This window comes from Homo sapiens, chromosome 2 (genome assembly GCF_000001405.40).
Source record: "Homo sapiens chromosome 2, GRCh38.p14 Primary Assembly".
Lineage (NCBI taxonomy): Eukaryota > Metazoa > Chordata > Mammalia > Primates > Hominidae > Homo > Homo sapiens.
Window position 1 is genome coordinate 227586051 of NC_000002.12, and position 19434 is coordinate 227605484.

Below are 19434 nucleotides of genomic sequence, written 5' to 3' on the forward strand. Positions count from 1 at the left end.
GGGCAGTGGTGCGATCTTGGCTTACTGCAACCTCCAGCTCCTAGGTTCAAGCAATCCTCCTGAGTAGCTGGGATTACAGGCACCTGCCACCATGCCCACCTAATTTTTCTATTTTTAGTAGAGATGTGATTTCACCATGTTGGCCGGGCTGGTCTCAAACTCCTGACTTCAGGTGATTCACCCACCTCGGCCTCCCAAAGTTTTGGGATTATAGGCGTGAGCCATTGTGCCCAGCCCTAAGGTCATATACTTCTAATTGGGATTAGAAAAGGAAAGATTTAAGGCAGATTTGAAAATGTATTACATTTGTTTTAAGGTTATCATTTTCAGGGATGGGTTAGGCTGATTTGGGGTAAAGCACCTGCTATTCTTTTGGCATGTCAGCAACCCAAATTGGGTTCATGCTCCTTTGACCTGACCCAATGAGTGGAAGTGAGATGTAGGCAATTTGGGAGTAAATTACATTAACATTGACTCCAAAGAAATGACTGTCACAAACAGTGAGACAGGGAAATTGAAATTGGGTAAATAAGGCTTCCCTGAGACCTGCTCCACATGCGAAGTATTTCTGCCCTGGATATTGAGCCCATAATGCATTTTAGCACAAGTTTGATCATAAAAGAAATGAATCTCACAGTAGAGGAAATTCTTCCCAACAGGGTTCCTTTATTTAACTTGCGTGAATTTATACAGCACAAAAGGTCCTTTTATAGCAAGACAATAAGTAAAAGAGATGGTTAGCCATCAATATATGGTACATTATTCTGTGCATTTAGTTTTTAGCAGTACAGAACTGCTGGATATGAGAATAGAGTAGAAATAGCATGTAGTTTACAGCACAGTGAAAAGAAGGCAGGCACTGAAGTTTGTGTTAAGGAATTTCAGAAAAACATAAAAGTTAGTAACTATGATTTCATTTTCCATTTCTTCAACCGTGAATTGTTTGCAGGAGCTGGGCTGTCCCTTGCTTTCATAGTTTTCATTGTTCACATGAATATCACTCAATATTTTGAAATTATAGATTTGTGATGTGACAGAGAGGAGGGTATCAAATCTACAGCCCTTGTGTGACTCCCAGTCACATGTGTGACTCCCAGTGATGGAAAGAGAACCAGGGCGAGGTTGGGGGAAGGCTTGCAATGGGCAAGCAAGATGCAGCAAACTCTTCCAGAGTCAGGTGCCCTGCCTAGCAGCAGCATTGCTTTTGGCAGCAGGATTTCTGTTGGCAACAGCCCTTCCCACAGCCGCAGCCACACGAGCTGCAGGTACGGCGGCAGCAGCAGATCACGGGAGTGCTGCAGCAGCCTCCACAGCAGCCGCGGCAGCAGGGGCAGCAGCTGGAGCAGCAGCCCACCCGGTAGCACCTGCAGGTGGTGCAGCTGCCACAGCCACCACCGCAGCCACCACCGCAGCCACCACCTCAGCCACCACTGCAGCCACAACTTCCACAACCACAGCAACCCATGGTGTCAGTAGAGAGGACTCAGGTGAAGTGAGGAGGGAGGATGTGAGAGGTGACGAGGTCTGATGTTTGCCTCTGCAAGGGACCCTTAAATACTGCTGCTGGGGCTTGGCACATGACTATAGTCACTTCCTTGTTGTTTTGGCCACTTTCCGTGGCAAACTTTTGTTTCCTGTTTATTACTTCCTCAGGGGTGTACACAACTTGATTTTTTATTTCAATTTTAGATAAATTCACTTCTATTTCAAAAACGGAATCAGAACTGACATTTTTTTCAGAAAACACTGCATTGTTTCAATCTGTCTACCTGAGGGTAAAATTATTTTGATAGTAGTCAATGGTCTAAGCCAAAGAGATCCAGCCGTTCCTCGTCTTTCGCAAATCAGTAATAGCTGCCCAGAGGAAAGAGTCCTCTTCAAAATGTATCTGTCTTTTACTCTAAGTATATACATTTTATGTGTATTATCCTTAATCACCCTTTATAAAAACCCCAACACATTAGGTATATAGAGTCTTTATTAAAATGAGTTTTGTCATCAAAGAAGCCCAGGAAATGTTGCATATTGTTTCCATTTGGGAAATTCACATTAATATATTAAAGGTAATAGGAAGTCCTGGAGGAAAAGGGAGTCTCAAAAATCAATATTCAACATAAAGAGATTTCATATCAAATAGAAAATGTAGTTAAAAAATTACTTTTTGAATGGGTTTACTCAAAACAAGGATTTAGAGAATCCATTTGAAATAGCAACAAAAATAAAATTAAAGTATGATATATGACTCCAATGACATGCAGGATCTTGATGGAAAAAATTTTTAAATTCTACTGAGGGACATAAAAGAAGAAAGAAATAGAGGTTTGTGGATGGAACATCTCAACTGACATCTAAAAGATGTCAATCCTTTCCAAATAAATTAATAAATTCATTGCAATTCTATTAAAAACACTAAGAGATGTACAAACTTTTCTTGTTTTGATTTAACTTGACAGCTGCCCCCAAAATACATTTGACAAAACAAAAGGTCAATAATATCAAATACATGTTTTAAGAGGAATGAGAAGGACAGTTTGCCCTATCAGATGTTGGGACTCCTTCTAAGGCCATGGTCATTAAAACAGTGAGAAATTTTGTTGCTGAGAGAGATAGACTAATGGAGAGGAATAGAGAGCCCAGAAATGGAATCACATAGATTTTGGAATTTGATATATGGCAGAACAGTTACAAATCAGAAGAAAATATTGACTATTCAATATTAGTACTGAAATAACAGGTTATCCGTATGGATAAAAATAACACTAGCATCCTTCTTCACACCATACATAAAAGAAAGTTCCAGATGATTTTTGAGATCTAAAAATGAAAAGCAAAGCTTGATATTTTAAGAAGACACAATAAATTATTTTTCTTTTTTTTAACTTTTAGGTTCAGGAGTACATGTGCAGGTTTGTTATAGGTAAACTCATGTCATGAGGGTTTGGTTTACAGATTATTTCATTACCTGGGTGCTAAACTTAGTACTCAATAGTTATTTTTTCTGATCCCCTTCCTCCTCCCAGCTTCCACCCTCAAGTAGACTCCAGTGTCTGCTGTTCTTCTATTCATATCCATATGTTCTCATAATTTAGCTCCCCCTTATAAGTGAGAAAAAGCGGTATTTGGTTTTCTGTTCCTGCATTAGCTTGCTAAGGATAATCACCTCCAGCTCCATCCATGCCCCTGCATGATCTTGTTCTTTTTTATGGCTGCATAATATTCCATAATAGTAGACTGGATAAAGAAATTTCTAAATGGATAAATTTCATTATCCAGTCTACCACTGATGGGCATTTAGGTTGATTCCATGTCTTTGCTATAGTGAATAGTGCTGCAATGAACATGTGTGTAAGTATCTTTATGGTAGAATGATTTATATTCCTTTGGGTATATACCCAGTAATGGGATTGCTGGGTCAAATGGTAGTTTTGTTTTTAGCTCTTTGAGGAATCACCAGACTACTTTCCACAATGGTTGAACTAATTTACACTCCAACCAACAGTATATAAGCATTTCCTTTCCTCTGCATCCTCACCAGCATCTGTTACATTTTGACTTTTTGATAATAGCCATTCTGACTTGTGAGACAGTATCTCATTGTAATTTCGATTTGCATTTCTCTAATGATTAGTGATACTGAGCTTTTCTTCATATGCTTGTTGGCTGCATATATGACTTCTTTTGAAACGTGTCCATTCATTTCCTTTGCCCACTTTTTAATGAGGTTGTTTTTTGCTTGTACATTTGTTCAAGTTCCTTACAGATGCTGGATATTTGACCTTTGTTAGATGCATAGTTTGCAAATAATTTCTCTCATTCTGTAGGTTTTCTATTTACTCTGTTGATAGTTTCTTTTGTTGCATGGAACCTCTTTAGTTTAATTAGATCCCATTTGTCAATTTTTGCTTTTGTCACAATTGCTTTTGGCATCTTCGGCATGAAATCTTTGCCCATGCAGATGTCCTGAAAGGTACTGCCTAGATTTTCTTCTAGGGTTTTTATAGTTTTGGGTTTCACATTTAAGTCTTTAATCCATCTTGAGTTGATTTTGTTGATTTTTGTATATGGTGTAAGGTAGGGGTCCAGTTTCAATCTTCTGCATATGGCTAGCCAGTTATCCCAGCACCATTTATTGAATAGGGAGTCCTTTCTCTGTTGCTTGTTTTTGTCAGCTTTGTCAAAGATCAGATGGTTGTAGGTGAGCAGCATTATTTCTGGGCTCTCTATTCGGTTTCATTGGTCTATGTGTCTGTTTTAGTGCCAGTACCATTCTGTTTTGGTTACTGTAGCCTTGTAGTATAGTTTGAAGTTAGGTAACATGTTGCCTCCAGCTTCTTTCTTTTCGCTTAGGATTACTTTGGCTGTTCAGACACTTTTTTGGTTCTATGTGAATTTTAAAATAATTTTTTCTAGTTCTGTAAAGAATGTCATTGGTAGTTTGATAGGAAAGAATTGAATCTGTAAATTGCTTTGGGCAGTATGGCCATTTTAATGATTTTGATTCTTCCTATCTATGAGCATAAGATGTTTTTCCATTTGTTTGTGTCATCTCTGATTTCTTTGAGGAGTGCTTTGTAATTCTCATTGTAGAACTCTTTCACCTCCCTGGTTAACTGTATTCCTAAGTATTTTATTCTTTTTGTTGCAATTGTGAATGGGATTGCATTCCTGACTTGGCTCTCAGCTTGACTGTTGTTGGTGTATAGGAATGCTGCTGATTTTTGTTCATTGATTTTTGTATCCTAAAGCTTTGCTGAAATTGTTTATCAGCTTAAGGAGCTTTGGGGCAGAGACTGTGGGGTTTTCTAGATGTAGGATTATGTTATCTGCAAACAGGGATAGTTTGACTTCCTCTCTTTCTATTTTGATGCCCTTTATTTATCTTTTTATTATTATTTTTTGAGATGTAGTTTCACTCCTGTTGCCCAGGCTGGAGTGCAATGGCACGATCTCGGCTCACTGCAACCTCCACCTCCCAGGTTCAAGCGATTCTCCTGTCTCAACCTCCCAAGTAGCTGGGATTACAGGCATTCACCACCATGCCTGGCTAATTTTGTATTTTTAATAGAGATGGGGTTTCTCCATGTTGATCAGGCTGGTCTTGAACTCCTGACCTCAGGTGCTCTGCCCACCTAGGCCTCCCAAAGTGCTGGGTTGCCTTTATTTATTTCTCTTGCCTGATTGCTCTGTCCAGAACTTGCAATACTATGTTGAATAGGAATGGTGAGAGAGGGCATCCTTGTCTTTTGCCAGTTTTGAAGGGGAATACTTCCAGCTTTTGCCCATTCAGTATAATATTGGCTGTGGGTTTGTCTTAGATGACTCTTATTATTTTGAGATATGTTTCTTCAATACCTAGTTTATTGAGAGTTTTTAATGTGAAAGGATGTTGAATTTTATTAATAGCCTTTTCTGCATCTATTGGGATAATCAAGTGGTTTTTGTCTTTAGTTTTGTTTATGTGATGAATCCCATTTATTGATTTGCATGTGTTGAACCAACATTTTATCCCAGGGATAAAGCCTACTTGATCATGGTGGATAAGCTTTTTGATGTGCTGTGGGATTTGGTTTGCAGTATTTTGTTGAGCATTTCTGCATCTATGTTCATCAAGGATAAATTATTTCTTAGAATAGAGAAATCCAAACAATAAAGAAAAATATGAATTAAATAGAAAATACTTCAAATGAAAGAGAAGAAAACATTTTCACATAAAAACATGCTGAAAATTGGCTGGGTGCAGTGGCTCATGCCTGTAATCCCAGCACTTTGGGAGGCTGAGGTGGGCAGATCACCTGAGGTCAGGTGGGCAGATCACCTGAGGTCAGGAGTTCGAGACTAGCCTGACTAACATGCTGAAACCCCGTTTCTACTAAAAATACAAAAAATTAGCCGGGTGTGGTGGCACATACCTGTAATCCCAGCTACTCGGGCATCTGAGGCAGGAGAATCACTTGAACCCGGGAGGCAGAGGTTTCAGTGAGCCAAGATCGTGCCATTGCACTCCAACCTGGCCAACAAGAGCAAAACTCCGTCTCAAACAAAAACAAAAACAAAAAACAAACCAAAAAAATGCTGAAAATAAAGATTAAAATAAACTTTAGCCTAAAGAACAATTAATTTTAAAAAGAAAACAAATTATTAGAAAAGTGAATGAAGAATATGAATTGAGGAGTTATAGAAGACAAAATTCAACACAGAAAGATGCTCAACCTCACTGGTAATCAGAAAAGTGCAAATTAAAACCACACCATGGTTTTAATTTTATACCCACCTGATTATCAAAATGTTCAAGTCTGACAATACCAAATATTGGTGAGAATGTCAAACAATTGGAATTCTCATACTTTGTTGGGTGGGAGTGTAAATTGCTATAACCAATTCTGAGAGCAATTAAGCAACGTCTGGCTAGGTCAAAGATATGCATTCTCCTGTTTAATCATTTATATCAATATTGGCTGATCGAACCCTATTCTATTCATTGAGTTATAAATCTGTTACTGTCATTATTCTGATGCTCAAGTTGTCCCAAATTTTGCCATTGGTAGCACCTTCAAGCTGGTCTGTGGTTTTAAAAAATATCTCCATAATTTTTGAAGTACTAACTTAAATTCTGGCACAAGATGTTCAAGGTCCCATTTCATCCTTTTCCTGTCCCAGATCTGGAATCAGCCTGTTCTCCAAGGATTCTGGTTCCTTTTATTGGATAGTGATATTTAGAATCCAAGATCTGGGTACTAACTGCACTCATTGCTAGGATTTGTTTTCTGCACCTACAGTCAGTTCTTCTATAACACAACATATGTGCTCCTAAAAATCATGAGACTGTACAAAATTGTGCAATAAAAGCATAGGACTCATGGCTAACACTGAGCTTTGGGAACAGCACTCAAAAAACTTCATCAGTGACTCATTAAAGAAAAGATGGAGAACTTAGTAAAAAGGGTGCACAGTTCTATACATAACATGTGTGTATATATGTGTGTGTGTGTGTATTACAGGATATACATATATCATGTAATAAATGTGGCATTTTACCTGAAGTTTGCTTATGGAAGTGGGCATAAGAAGGGTTGCAGCTTGTGGTATTGTCAAGTGATAGGAAGGGAGTGGTATCTGAAATGAAACAGAAAGTTGTAACTGTTATGTGCAGAAGGGTTTCATTCACAGCACATTGGTGAGCAGGTAGCTAGTAGGTAGTTGTTTGAAGTATGCATGCGTGCATTTTAGCTGGGTGCAGTTTTCTGTATCTACTTGGTATTTCTCTAGGACAAAATCACATATAAGCAAATGCAAAATTTGCCTTATGTTCCAGTTGTTTCTCAATACATCAGCCTCCTTGGAACACATTTACATTTTCAAAAACAAGTGTTATACCAGAACTGACTGTATTACATATTAGGAACCGTGCTAGGCATTGGGAATTTGAATAATTGATCCCCTGTATGTTTTCCACTTGGCTTTCTGTTTCAGGGCTTTTCATATTTTCTTATGGTTTGCTTTTGTGTTTGTCTTATTTGATGGACCTTACATGCTTCTTTAGGGCCAGTTTCATCTCTCATTCATCTTACTCTCCCAAGTGCTACACAGTGTCTGAAATGTATAACAGTATTATTAAACTTTTGATAAATTGATACCAGTAAGGATAATGTATAGTTCCTCCTTTCAAAGAACTACAGTCTGGAATTGTTCCGTCCAATATGGCAGCCACTTACAATGTAGGCTAATTCAGTTCAAATTAATCAAAATTAAATAAAGTAAACAATTTTGTTCTTCAGCTTCATTAGCTACATTTACGTACTCAATAGACACATGTGGTAAGTGGCTACCATATTGGTCAGCTCAGAATAGAACATTTCCATCTTTCCAGAAAGTCCAACTGGGCAGCTCTGGTCCAGATCCAAGTGGATGGAGAATTACAGCTGCCTTATTATTCAGATCACTATCGGAAGACCTGGTGATGACCTGCCTCCTGTCCCCACAGAAAGAAAAAGTGACCCTACATGTAGGAAGATATAATTGAAAATATTTGAGACTGGAGGTCTTCTGAAAAATCAGAATTTTAAAAAGGTAGATCCATGTAATAAAGCCTAAAGTATTCAACAAAGAAGTCAATGAGATCTAAAGAAAGTGAAATTCTCCCAAAGACATAACAAGGAAGACTTACTTACCAAGTTTCAAACCTCCCAGAGTCATTTTCTGCAAAGTGGACTGGAGAAGAATAACAGAAGTAGTAGGAGAAAAACAAGGAATTTTGTCTCATAAAAGTCAACAGATGAGAATGTGTTAAGAAAGATTTGTCAACTGCATAGTGCTGAGAAGTCATCTTGCAACACTGTCAAAGAGCATATTGTGGACTCCGCCGCAGTGGAGGTCACGGGGGATTTGAGTTAGAGCATTTCACATGCAGGGGTTGTCTAGGGAGAAGTGGGGAAGTTTTGGAGGATTTTTGGTGAAGATTCTTATTTTTTATAGTAAGTGAAAAAACAATAACTCAATATATGTACCATAATCCCCAATTTTGTTTTTAAGTAGTGCAGATGGGTGGACATAAAATTCTGGAAGAAAAATAAAAAGTGAAGAATGGTTATTTCCATAAGGTGTGATTGTGGATAATTTTTTTCTTCATATTTCTGTGTATTTTTCAATTTTCTGCAATAAGCATGTATAACTTTCATAGTAGAAAAATATCACTAATTATACTTAAATAGAATTATAGGTAATATTTTGTTTCTTCATATTTTTTATATTTTAAAAGACATGTCAACACATTTTATTATGTATAATCTTTTAAAAGTTTTTTTATTTATTCTTTCTAAGAGAAGCAGTCTTGCTATTTTGCCCAGACTGACCTAAAATTCCTGGGCTAAAGGGATTCTCCAGCCTCAGCCTTTCAAATAGCTTGGACTACAGACATGCTCCACTGTGCCTGGCTTTTTGTGTATAATCTTTGAGACGGAGTTGTGCTCTGTTGCCCAGGTTGGAGTGCAGTGGTGTGATCTTGGCTTACTGCAACCTCCACCTTCCAAGTTCAAGCCATTCTCCTGCCTCATCTTCCCAAGTAGCTGGGACTACAGGTGTGTGCCACCATGCCTGGCTAATTTTTGTATTTTTGGTAGAGACAGAGTTTCGCCATGTTGGCCAGGCTGGCCTCGAACTCCTGGCCTCAAGTGATCTGCCCGCCTTGGCCTCCCAAAGTGTTGGGATTACAGGCGTGAGCCACTGCACCTGGCCGCTGTATATAATCCTATGCGTACTTTGCTGACTCCTCATCCCACATTCCTGCTTCCTCACCCAACACCTATTTTTTAGTGTCACTGTTCCCCTGCCTATCATCTAGAGGGAGGTTTTTTTTTGTTGTTGTTTTCTTGGCTTTTTTTGGACAATGCTCTCTGCAAGTGTGGCTGTCAAGGGGAGGAGAGACAAAGGCAGTAGCTGGAGGGGCACTGGACTCAACAGTGTGCTTTTTTTGCTTGAAGGGAGGAGAAATGCCACTTACAAGGTTTTGATGTGGATGGAAGAATCTGGAAGGTTGGGGGAGTGTTGATTGCTGTGTTTGTAGTGTCTAGGATGGGTGGCACTTCACAGATGCTCAGCAAATACCCGTGGAGTGAGGGAATGAGAGGAAGAGATGCCTGAGAAAGGAGATTTAGAAAGCCAGATGGAGGTGGTTTCAAGTGCACAGGTGCAGGGGCCAGTCTTGGATGGTGGGAGTGGGATCCACACCCACCTCCTCCTCCATGGTTAACCGAAGAAGAGGAGGACTGACTGGATTCCAGCACTTTTTTGCACAGTATGGTAGGAAGTGCCTTCTTGGAGTGAAGGGGTCGGAGAAGGCATCCAACATCTGAAGAAAGGGGAGAAGATAGGAAGTAGTCATTGTAGGAAGAGGGCAGGCCAGCTGATGGGAGAAGGGGAGAACCTGGAGGAGGGCAGGCAGCTCCCTCTGCTGCCATCTGTGGTGGTGATGACAGATCCCAGCCCCCTCTTTATTCTCCTGCCTCCACACCGTTGCCTCCTCATTTTCCCACTGTTGCTCTCCCTTCTTTTGTTATAATTTCGTGGAGATATGACCAAAACAGAAGGGGGAGAAAAAGAGACAGCTAAGTTTCAATTGGGGTGATTGGGGATTGATGACATTTGAACTGTGTCTTTGAGGAATGCTTGGGACGTCCCTGCTGGAAGAGGGCCCTTTAAATTAAGGCACAGCCACAAGGGAGGTGGGGGAGGAGGCAAGTTCAAGTTATGGTGATGCGGCTGGCATGTTTCTTGTGTGAAAGCAAAGGGTCTGTGTCAGAGGAGCAACCTGGTGCCTGCCCTGCATTTGCTCCCTTACTCCCAAGTGTCCTTTGCTTTGTTGGTTTCGTTCCTGTCCTTTGGTGAATCTTGCCCCCTTCATTGTTCTTGTCTCTGTCTTATTTCTAAGAGTGTGGTACAGTGTTGAACACGTGGTACCTGCACTGTAGATATTAACTTCTACTAGTAGTCATGATGTTAATTACAAACTTGCCCTTCTCATGTAGCCTTGGGCTACTCTAGAGCCTCAGACAGGAGATTAAGCTGCAAAGATAAATTGAAGCTAGATTATTTATTATTATTATTATTATTATTTGAGATGGAGTCTCGCTCTGTCACCCAGGCTGGAGCACAATGGCGTGATCTTGGCTCACTGCAACCTCTGCCTCCCAGGCTCAAGCGATTCTCCTGCCTTAGCCTCTCGACTAGCTGGGACTACAGGACTGCACCACCACGCAGGGCTAATTTTTGTATTTTTGGTAGAGACGGGGTTTCACCATGTTGGCCAGGCTGGTCTCAAACTCCTGTCTTTAAGTGATCCACCTGCCTCGGCCTCCCAAAGTGTTAGGATTACAGGCATGAGCCACCGCACCTGGCCTGAAGCTGGATTGTTGAGGGCATTTTAATGCCATACTAGTGAGTCTGAATTGTTGAGTAGGAAAGAAATGTTGAACATTAGAATATAGAGCAGCACAAGATAGCTTTTAAAATACAGAAGCACAAAAATTTCATAAAATTGTGTTAACATCATTATACCATATACTGACCATGTATAAGGATTTATACTTCATGAGGTCATAGTTAATAATAGGGACTATTTTAAAGTAGTTTGTTTCCTCAAGGACCAAAATCTTTCCAAGTCTCTGCTCTGGCAGTCTTCAAAGTGTGATCTAAGGACCTCTGGAGGCCCTGAGCTTATTAAGATACTCCTCCTTTTTCCAACTGCATATCTGTGTCAGGCTGGATTTTTACTCCAGCCAAAACACTGTAGGATAATAGATTCATCAAAGAAGGAGAATGAGAATCCAGCTGTCTTTGATCAAGACAGACATTAAAGAGATTGGCAAAAATATAAAATAATGGCCACTGTACTCATTAATTCTTTTTTATTTTGGAAAATGGAGTTTTTTTTCCAAAATGTATTATGTATGTGATCATGTAATGGGCTTATATTATTTAAAAATGAATTAATAAACTTTTTAAAAGTCTCAGTGTTAATTTAGAATGCAATAAGTATCTATAGATTTAAGCCATATAACAAGGACAATTTGGAGTTCTCAATACTTTTTAGGAGCATAGGGATCCCGAGAGTAATAAGTTTGAGAACCACTGCTCCAACCTTTCTCTTCTCTTTGGTCAATGTGTGAATGTGCTTTTCCAAATCCACCGTTAAAATCTGAACGTAGGACGTCCTGGGACTCCACACCTGAGAAGTAAATGAAAGCCTTGCTTTCCAGACTGAAAGGAAGTTCGGGGCGGGGTGAGGGGTGCGGAGTGCGGTACTCCCCCTCCCACTTAGAGAGTCACAGAGCACGTGACAAAGGCAAGCCACTGAGGACAGAGTCAAAAAGCCTGTCTGGCTTTATTTAAATTCATTATTTCTCAAAAATAGTCAAACCTTTTTTGTGTGTTGCCTTTTAATGTCCTGTGGAACGAATCTTCTACCAAATGTGTTTTGGGAAGCCTGACATTGATTAGTCCCCTTCGTCCTGAGTTCTGAGGAGCATTGCAAGGCCAGATGAGGGCATCTCTGGGGACAGTGGAGCTTCCTGGGGCCTCTGGACCCTTACTTTGGGGTTGCCTTGCTGCCAGCTCTGTCATTAAGGTGGGACCTACAAAGTGTGACTCATGCGAGAAGAATTCATTAGGAGGAAGAAACCCGAGGACCAGAAGGTACTGAAGCCGGATCTGAGGGCTGTGGGCTTCTCTAATGAGGCTGATCTTGATAATTCCCTAAATGAGCTCACTGTGTGTGCTGAGGGCTCTCCCAGGTAGAATAATCAGACATAGCCACTAACCTAGATGCAGGTGGCCTCTTTGAATTGTGACTTCCAGACCAGTGATAGAAAATAGCAAAGATTGGGAACTTCCTTTATGTTAGCTTCTGTGTTCTCCTTCTACTCAAGTAAACCCTAGGAATTTTTTTTGGAGAGATGTCAAGGGAAATATATGATTCTCCTGGGAAAATATTAGTAAGCAAGGAAACCATCAATGACAGATATATCTCTCTGGCTCATCTATTCAAGACTGGCTGTATTTGAAAATAGGGATAGGTCCTTGGCTGAATATTCCCACTGGATGGAACAGAGGTTAATTTAGCTGAACTGAAGATAAATGACTTAATGAGATGAAAGGTGCCTAATAGGGACATAAACAGGAGGTTTCCCTGTGGAAACTGAAATAAACAATAACAAGGAAGTGGTCATGTGTCTTCCCTCTCCTCTCCCCAGAGTTGGTACATAAGGGCCTCCCCCAGCAGAAGGAGGCATCAGACCTCCTCACCTCTCCTGAGTCCTCCTCACTTCACCTGAGTCCTCTCTACTGACACCATGGGTTGCTGTGGTTGTGGAGGTTGTGGTGGCTGCGGTGGCCGCTGTGGTGGCTGCGGTGGTGGCTGTGGTGGTGGCTGTGGTGGTGGCTGCGGTGGTGGCTGTGGTGGTGGCTGTGGTGGTGGCTGCGGTGGTGGCTGCGGTGGTGGCTGTGGTGGTAGCTGTGGCAGCTGCACCACCTGCAGGTGCTACCGGGTGGGCTGCTGCTCCAGCTGCTGCCCCTGCTGCCGTGGCTGCTGTGGAGGCTGCTGCAGCACTCCCGTGATCTGTTGCTGCCGCCGCACCTGCCACTCATGTGGCTGTGGCTGTGGGAAGGGCTGTTGCCAGCAGAAATGCTGCTGCCAGAAGCAATGCTGCTGCTAGGTGGCCGGCCTGGTTCCACCCCTGCCCAGGAGCTGTGGGAACCCTCACTGTCTCCTGCTGGCAAGGCTCTGCTTAACCCCATTCTGTCTAATCCTTTTTCTAACCTATCTGTCACCAGCAGATCCCCTTGGCTTCTGCCTCATGTGCCTTGTGCTTTGTCCTTCTGGGATCTTCCTTTGCCCACACACGGCACCAACTTGCCCAGACCACACAATGTGAAACAAACGGGCAACCGAGCAGCCGGTGATAACCAGATAAAGTCAGAGCCAACCAGGAAACTTAGTACTTTATTATTTTGTAATGTTCAATCTTTCCTAAATAGTCAGTCCTGGATTTCACCATTTTTCTGTTCACTGTCTGTGTGCAATCTTTTCCATTGCTTTTGTCTATATTTGCTCTTTAAAATTTCCCAGTAAAATGACTTGGTATGTCACAAAAATCTCTTCATTAGTCATTTTTTTTTTAATCGGTTCCTTCGTCGGCTTATCCATCCCTGTGCTGTGAGTCCAGTTCTGGCCCTCACACTCCTGCAACCTCCTGAAGCTGGCCATGGGCCCAGCCGCTGAACTTGTAGCTGTTGATCAGAGAGGCACAGAGCTCCCTGTGCTGCTGCTCTGACATGATGTCTTACCTGTGGGGTCTGTGTACTCGGACTCTCCCAAGGATTTTCTAGGGTGGGATGAGGGTGGTGTGAATTGATGGTGGTGATAGGTCTCTGTTTCTCCTTGAAATTTATCTAGGAGGCTGGGTGTAGTGGCTCATGTCTGTAGTCCCAGCACTTTGGGAGCCCAAGATGGGTGGATCCCTTGAGACCCGTTGTTCGAGACCAGCCTGGGCAATATAGGAGACCTCATCTCTGAAAAAAAACCCAAAATGTTAGCTGGGTATGGTGAAGTGCTCCTATAGTATCAGCTACTTCGGAGGCTGAGGCAGGAGGATCGCTTGATCTCAGGAGGCTGAGGCTGCAATGAACTGTGACAACATCACTGCACTCCAGCCTGGGTGACAGAGTGAGACACTATCTAAAACAAATTATGTAGGAAATGAAAAATGAGCCCCAAAGGAGGGGGGAATGGATGTAGCCTCTACCTTGCTGTGCTCAGTGGTTTCTGAAAAGACTGGAAAGTGTTTGCCAGGACAAGGAGGTTGAGCACTGTGGGGGGTGGGGCAGTTCCATGTAGCTCATGTCCTTGCTGGTGTTCTCGGCATGGCCTCCGAGACCACTACTAGGCATCAGTAGTCGTAAAGACTTGTAAATAAATAAGAAAGTTGGGGCTGGGTGTGGTGGCTCATGCCTGTAATCCCAGCACTTTGGGAGGCTGAGGTGGGAGAATCACCTGAGTCCAGGAGTTTGAGACCAGCCTGGGCAATATAGTGAGACCCTATCTTTACAAATAATCAAAAATTAGCCAAGCATAGTGGTGCACACCTGTAGTCCTAGCTACTTGGGAGGCTGAGGCAGGAGAATTACTTGAGCCCAGGAAGTCGAGGCTATAGTGAGCCATGATCACCAGCAGTCAGCTTGAGCAACAGAGTGAGACCCTGTCTCTAAATAAATAGGAAAGTCATTCTAACCCTGGTTATGGCAATGAAACAGATTCCACTTAGGAGGGAGGTTGGCTACAAAAGCTTAGAGAAGTGTCATGCTCATTCAAGGTGGGAGAAAGAACAAACTCGCCAAACTCGTATTAGATTGGAGCTCACCACAGTGTACCAGGCCCAAGGCAGTTTGCTTGCACTCAAAAATCTTTTTTTGACTAAATGTTCTTCATGATCTAGACTACGCTTTGGCAATTTTTTCTGTGAAGTATCAGATGTAAATATTTTCAGCCTTGCAGGCCACATGATTTGTTGTAACTTGTCAACTCAGCCATTCTACCTTTAAAACAGCCACTGACAACAATTAAATGTGTAAGTGGCTGTGTTCCAAGAAAATATTGTGTACAAAAGCAGGTGGCAGGCCAAAAGTGGGCATCAGTTTGTTGACCCCTGGTCTTGACATTGAACGGTGAAGATGAGTGCAATGTTGCACAGTGGTTAAGAGGGCTGGCTCTGAGGTCAGCCTGCCTGGGCCTGTTTTCCAACTCTCCAATTTAACAGTATATGCTTTGCAAAGTTATTTCAAGAATTAAATCAAATGATACATGTAAAATACCTAGAATTGTGCCCGCAACATTAGAAGAGCTCAAAAAGATTTCTACAGAGAACCAGAAAGGTTTAAGCATTGTGGAAGTACTCGTAATATAGATTTGACTTTCTTAGCGACTGGGGGAACATGTTCTCTGTGCTCCAATGTCCTGGTAGACCCTGATCTTGGCAGGACCACGTGGGGCGCCAGAGCTCTTTCAGGGAGTTGGTTCTCCTCTCCTTCCTCAGGGTTCAGCTCAGATCTCATTTCCCTCCATAGACAGGGCCTGCGACTGCTCTCCCAGTGACCAATGGGCCCCTCACATATCTTTAGCAAAACTTTTTCGCCGGGCGCGGTGGCTCACGCCTGTAATCCCAGCACTTTGGGAGGCCGAGGTGGGTGGATCACAAGGTCAGGAGATCGAGACCATCCTGGCTCACACGGTGAAACTCCCTCTCTACTAAAAATACAAAAAATTAGCCAGGGGTAGTAGCGGGCGCCTGTAGTCCCAGCTACTCGGGAGGCTGAGGCAGGAGAATGGCGTGAACCCGGGAGGCGGAGCTGGCAGTGAGCCGAGATCGCGCCACTGCACTCCAGCCTGGGTGACAGAGCGAGACTCCGTCTCAAAAAAACAAAAAAACAAACAAAAAAAAACCTGTTTGACGTTGGACTAGGAACATCTGCTCAGTCTGCCCTCAGCCTATGAGAACCATTTCCTTTTTCCGTTTCCTCGTTTCCCATCTTTATCTTCCCGAGTTCATGCACACACGTGCCGCTTTGAGGCTGTCTCAGTCACCTTCGTAGATCATCCCTCTCACTCCCACCCATGCCCAGCGCCCAGCACAACACCTGGCAAAGAAGCGTGCAGCACGGTGTGATTGTTCTGTCGGCAAAGAATAACAGGGCACATGTTCAGCTTGTGTTTCTGTTGTTGACTGTAATCGCTTTGGGGAATTATCTTTATTGTATCCATTACTGTAATATAGTACGATGAACAAGAATTTCAAGAAGACTGTTGGCATTTGAGAATTTTTAATGGGAATGAAGTTCTCTAAAGCCATCTAACTGACCCATCTCTAGGTTTTCTTTTTTAATTTGATCCTACAAGCTGCTGTCAGATATATCTTCCTGAAATGCTATATATTCATTTTTTATTGTGCTATATAATTCACTTGCAAAAGAAACATCAAAGTCTTCACAGTCTAAAGTTCATAACTACTCTCAAATTTTATTTCCAGCTTAAATATCTATTAACTTCATTGGATAAACTTTCTACTGTAGGTAAATTGCTTTCCTTCCTGTTTCCTGAATAAGTCTTCTATTTTCCCTTAACAACGTGTAGCCTACGTTAAAATTCTAATAATAACTAACATTTATTGAGTGATTACTATGTCCCAAGCCCTATTCTATGTGTTTTATATGTGTTATCACATTTCCATTTCATAGTAACCCTATGATATACATACTATTTTTCCATCAGGGAATTCAGGTATAAAAAGATCAGGTCACATCTTTCTAGAAGCAGAGGATCAGTTTACATAGGATAATCCCAGACTGCACTGCACCATACCCTCTACCCTCTGCTTCTCCTTCCTCTCCACCTATTCAAGTCCAGTTTTCCATTCAAGAAGGCTCTGCCTTCTTCATAAAACCTCCCTTTCTTCTATCTAATTGGAAGTAATTTGTCTCTTCTCTTGTAAGTTTTGATATTCACCAGCAACTACTTTGAGACAACTCTTATTGGGCTATTAGTTAAATCTTTTTTCTTCCTTACTTTTCCCAATTATTTCTTCTCATCTCTCTTTTTTATGTATTTATTTGAGACTGAGTTTCACTCTTGTTGCCCAGGCTGGAGTGCAATGGAGTTTTACTCTTGCCGCCCAGGCTGGAGTACAATAATGCAATCTCGGTTCACTGCAACCTCTGCCTCCCCAGTTCAAGTGATCCTCCTGCCTTAGCCTCACGAGTAGCTGGGTTTATAGGCACCCACTTGTATTTTTAGTAGAGACGGGGTTTCATCACATTGGCCAGACTGGTCTTGAACTCCTGACCTCAGGTGATCCACCCCCCTTGGCCTCCCAAAGTGCTGGGATTACATGCATGAGCCACCATGCCCGCTATCATCTCTCTTATTAATTTGAAGTAATTTAGACATATATATCTTTATATCACCTGTATTGCCTTGCACATTACAAGGTTTCAGCAAATGCTTGTTGATTAGGTTTGATTTTGCTCAAATGTTTATCTTTCACAATAGGATTACAAGCAGGAAGTTAATGGATAGATGCACTGAATAGCATCCTCTATTTAGGACAGCAACACCTGGTTATATTTAACTGGCATGCTTATGCACTTGAGCCATGCTTTATGTAGGAACTTATGCTACTGACTAATAGGTCACATATTTGAATCCCCTGTGGTTTCCAATGACCTGGATTTTACAGGTTGGCTGATTGGGGCTTGGGACCACTGTGTATCCCCAAGAAGCCGAGCAGAGCTGCCTGCCTGTATGTAGGTGAATCTGAATGCAAATACACTTTGAATGAGTTCTAGTTATTGCCCAATATAATTTTTTTTCTAATTTTGGTTTAAAAGTTCAAGAAAAGCAAAGAACCTATTAGATGGTATCTGTGATCTGTGTAGGAGTCTAGTCTAGTCTTTGGGTAATTAGTCTTTGGGATTCCTCTTATAATGGAAGGCATTATTGTTAGTATTAAATACGGTGGTGGGCAATATATCCATGCAACAAACCTACACATGTACCCCCTACATCTAAAATTAAAAATATGTGCATGGGGCTGAGGCAGGAGAATCGCTTGAACCTGGGAGGCGGAGGTTGCAGTGAGCCAAGATTGTGCCATTGCGCTCCAGCCTGGGCAACAAGAGCAAAAATCTGTCCATATATATATATATACACACACACACACACACAGACACACACACAGACACACACATATATATACACACACACATATACATATATATGTGTGTATATATATGTATATACACGCATATTTATACAACATATAACATATATATTATATATGTATATATGTGTGGTGGTCCAGGATTCACCAGAATGTTGGAGTGCCCTGAGTCCAGATTTCTTCAACCTCTGTCTACCTTTTCTCAACTTAACCCATCCAATCCATCATCTCTTTGGCTCTGTGAAGTGTCCCTAATGGACATCCTTTTGCCACATCCATTGATGTTTATTTTTCCTCTAGGGCAGTGTAGCAGTGTACAGAACCCTTCTTTCCTTTCCTATAAGAAGGAAAGGGAAGCAGATTACTTTTTTTTCTTAAATAAGCGTGCTCTCCCACTACTTACAAAATATAGAAAAAGTACACAGTTACAATGTTCAAGGTACAAACAAATAATTCAATTTTGTTTACAGAAAACAAGAAACTTTAAATTGTTGTTAATCCATTCGATATTAATTCAGTCAAGAGCAGAGCCTCTGAATGGCAATTTCCACATTACTGTGATACTTGTTCATACCTCATTAATTATCTGAATACCTAGTTTGAAAGTTGGCTGTGGGGGTGGGGAAACCTAATGAAACAATTCTCGCTACTTGACTTGTAATAAATACACTTTCTAGCACGTTCACTGCATGTAGAAATTTACATTTTGACCTAATTGTATTGAGCATTGGTAGGAAAACAGTGAGCAGTTGCAAGTAGGTGATTCCCGACTACTCCTCATATTTCCCTGTCTCCAATCTTTTTTTTTTTTTGAGATGGAGTTTCGCCTAGGCTGGAGTGCAATGGCACAATCTTGGCTCTCTGCAACCTCTGCCTCCTGGGTTCAACTGATTCTCCTGCCTCAGCCTCCCAAGTAACTGGGATTACAGGTGCCTGCCACCACGCTTGGCTATTTTTTGTATTTTTAGTAGAGACAGGATTTTGCCATGTTGGCCATGCTGGTCTCAAACCCTGACCTCAGGTGATCTGCCTGCCTTGGCCTCCCAAAGTGCTGGGATTATGGGCGTGAGACACCGTGCCCAGCCCCCTGTCTCCAATCTTTACTGAAGCCCTTTCCTGTGATAGACAGTCCCTGTCAGAGTTCCTCCCATTCCCCTTCTCCCACAGACACTCA

The 19434-nt window shown here is 41.8% G+C and overlaps 1 protein-coding gene and 1 pseudogene across 1 annotated transcript, besides 3 other annotated features; one reads left to right on the forward strand and one right to left on the reverse strand.

The window, feature by feature from the left end:
- Positions 853-1354: an enhancer, noted in NCBI's record as "H3K4me1 hESC enhancer chr2:228451619-228452120 (GRCh37/hg19 assembly coordinates)". NCBI's record gives its function as "activates a minimal SCP1, AML or CMV promoter by ChIP-STARR-seq in primed H9 embryonic stem cells {active_cell/tissue: H9 hESC(primed)}" and the evidence as "EXISTENCE:reporter gene assay evidence [ECO:0000049][PMID:30033119]".
- Positions 1187-1465, reverse strand: SCYGR9 (small cysteine and glycine repeat containing 9 (pseudogene); annotated as a pseudogene).
- Positions 7118-7207: a silencer, noted in NCBI's record as "silent region_12401". NCBI's record gives its function as "represses an Ori minimal core promoter by ATAC-STARR-seq in GM12878 lymphoblastoid cells {active_cell/tissue: GM12878}" and the evidence as "EXISTENCE:reporter gene assay evidence [ECO:0000049][PMID:35858748]".
- Positions 12309-12478: an enhancer, noted in NCBI's record as "experimental_57064 CRE fragment used in MPRA reporter constructs". NCBI's record gives its function as "activates a minimal promoter by MPRAs in K562 erythroleukemia cells, with activity observed for the non-introgressed 2:228463160 variant allele {active_cell/tissue: K562}" and the evidence as "EXISTENCE:reporter gene assay evidence [ECO:0000049][PMID:34662402]".
- On the forward strand, positions 12843-13205 carry SCYGR2 (small cysteine and glycine repeat containing 2). The gene has a single exon (NM_001395403.1). It carries the CDS (start codon positions 12843-12845, stop codon positions 13203-13205), a length of 363 nt encoding a protein of 120 aa, NP_001382332.1.
- Positions 13206-19434: the final 6229 nt, after the last annotated feature.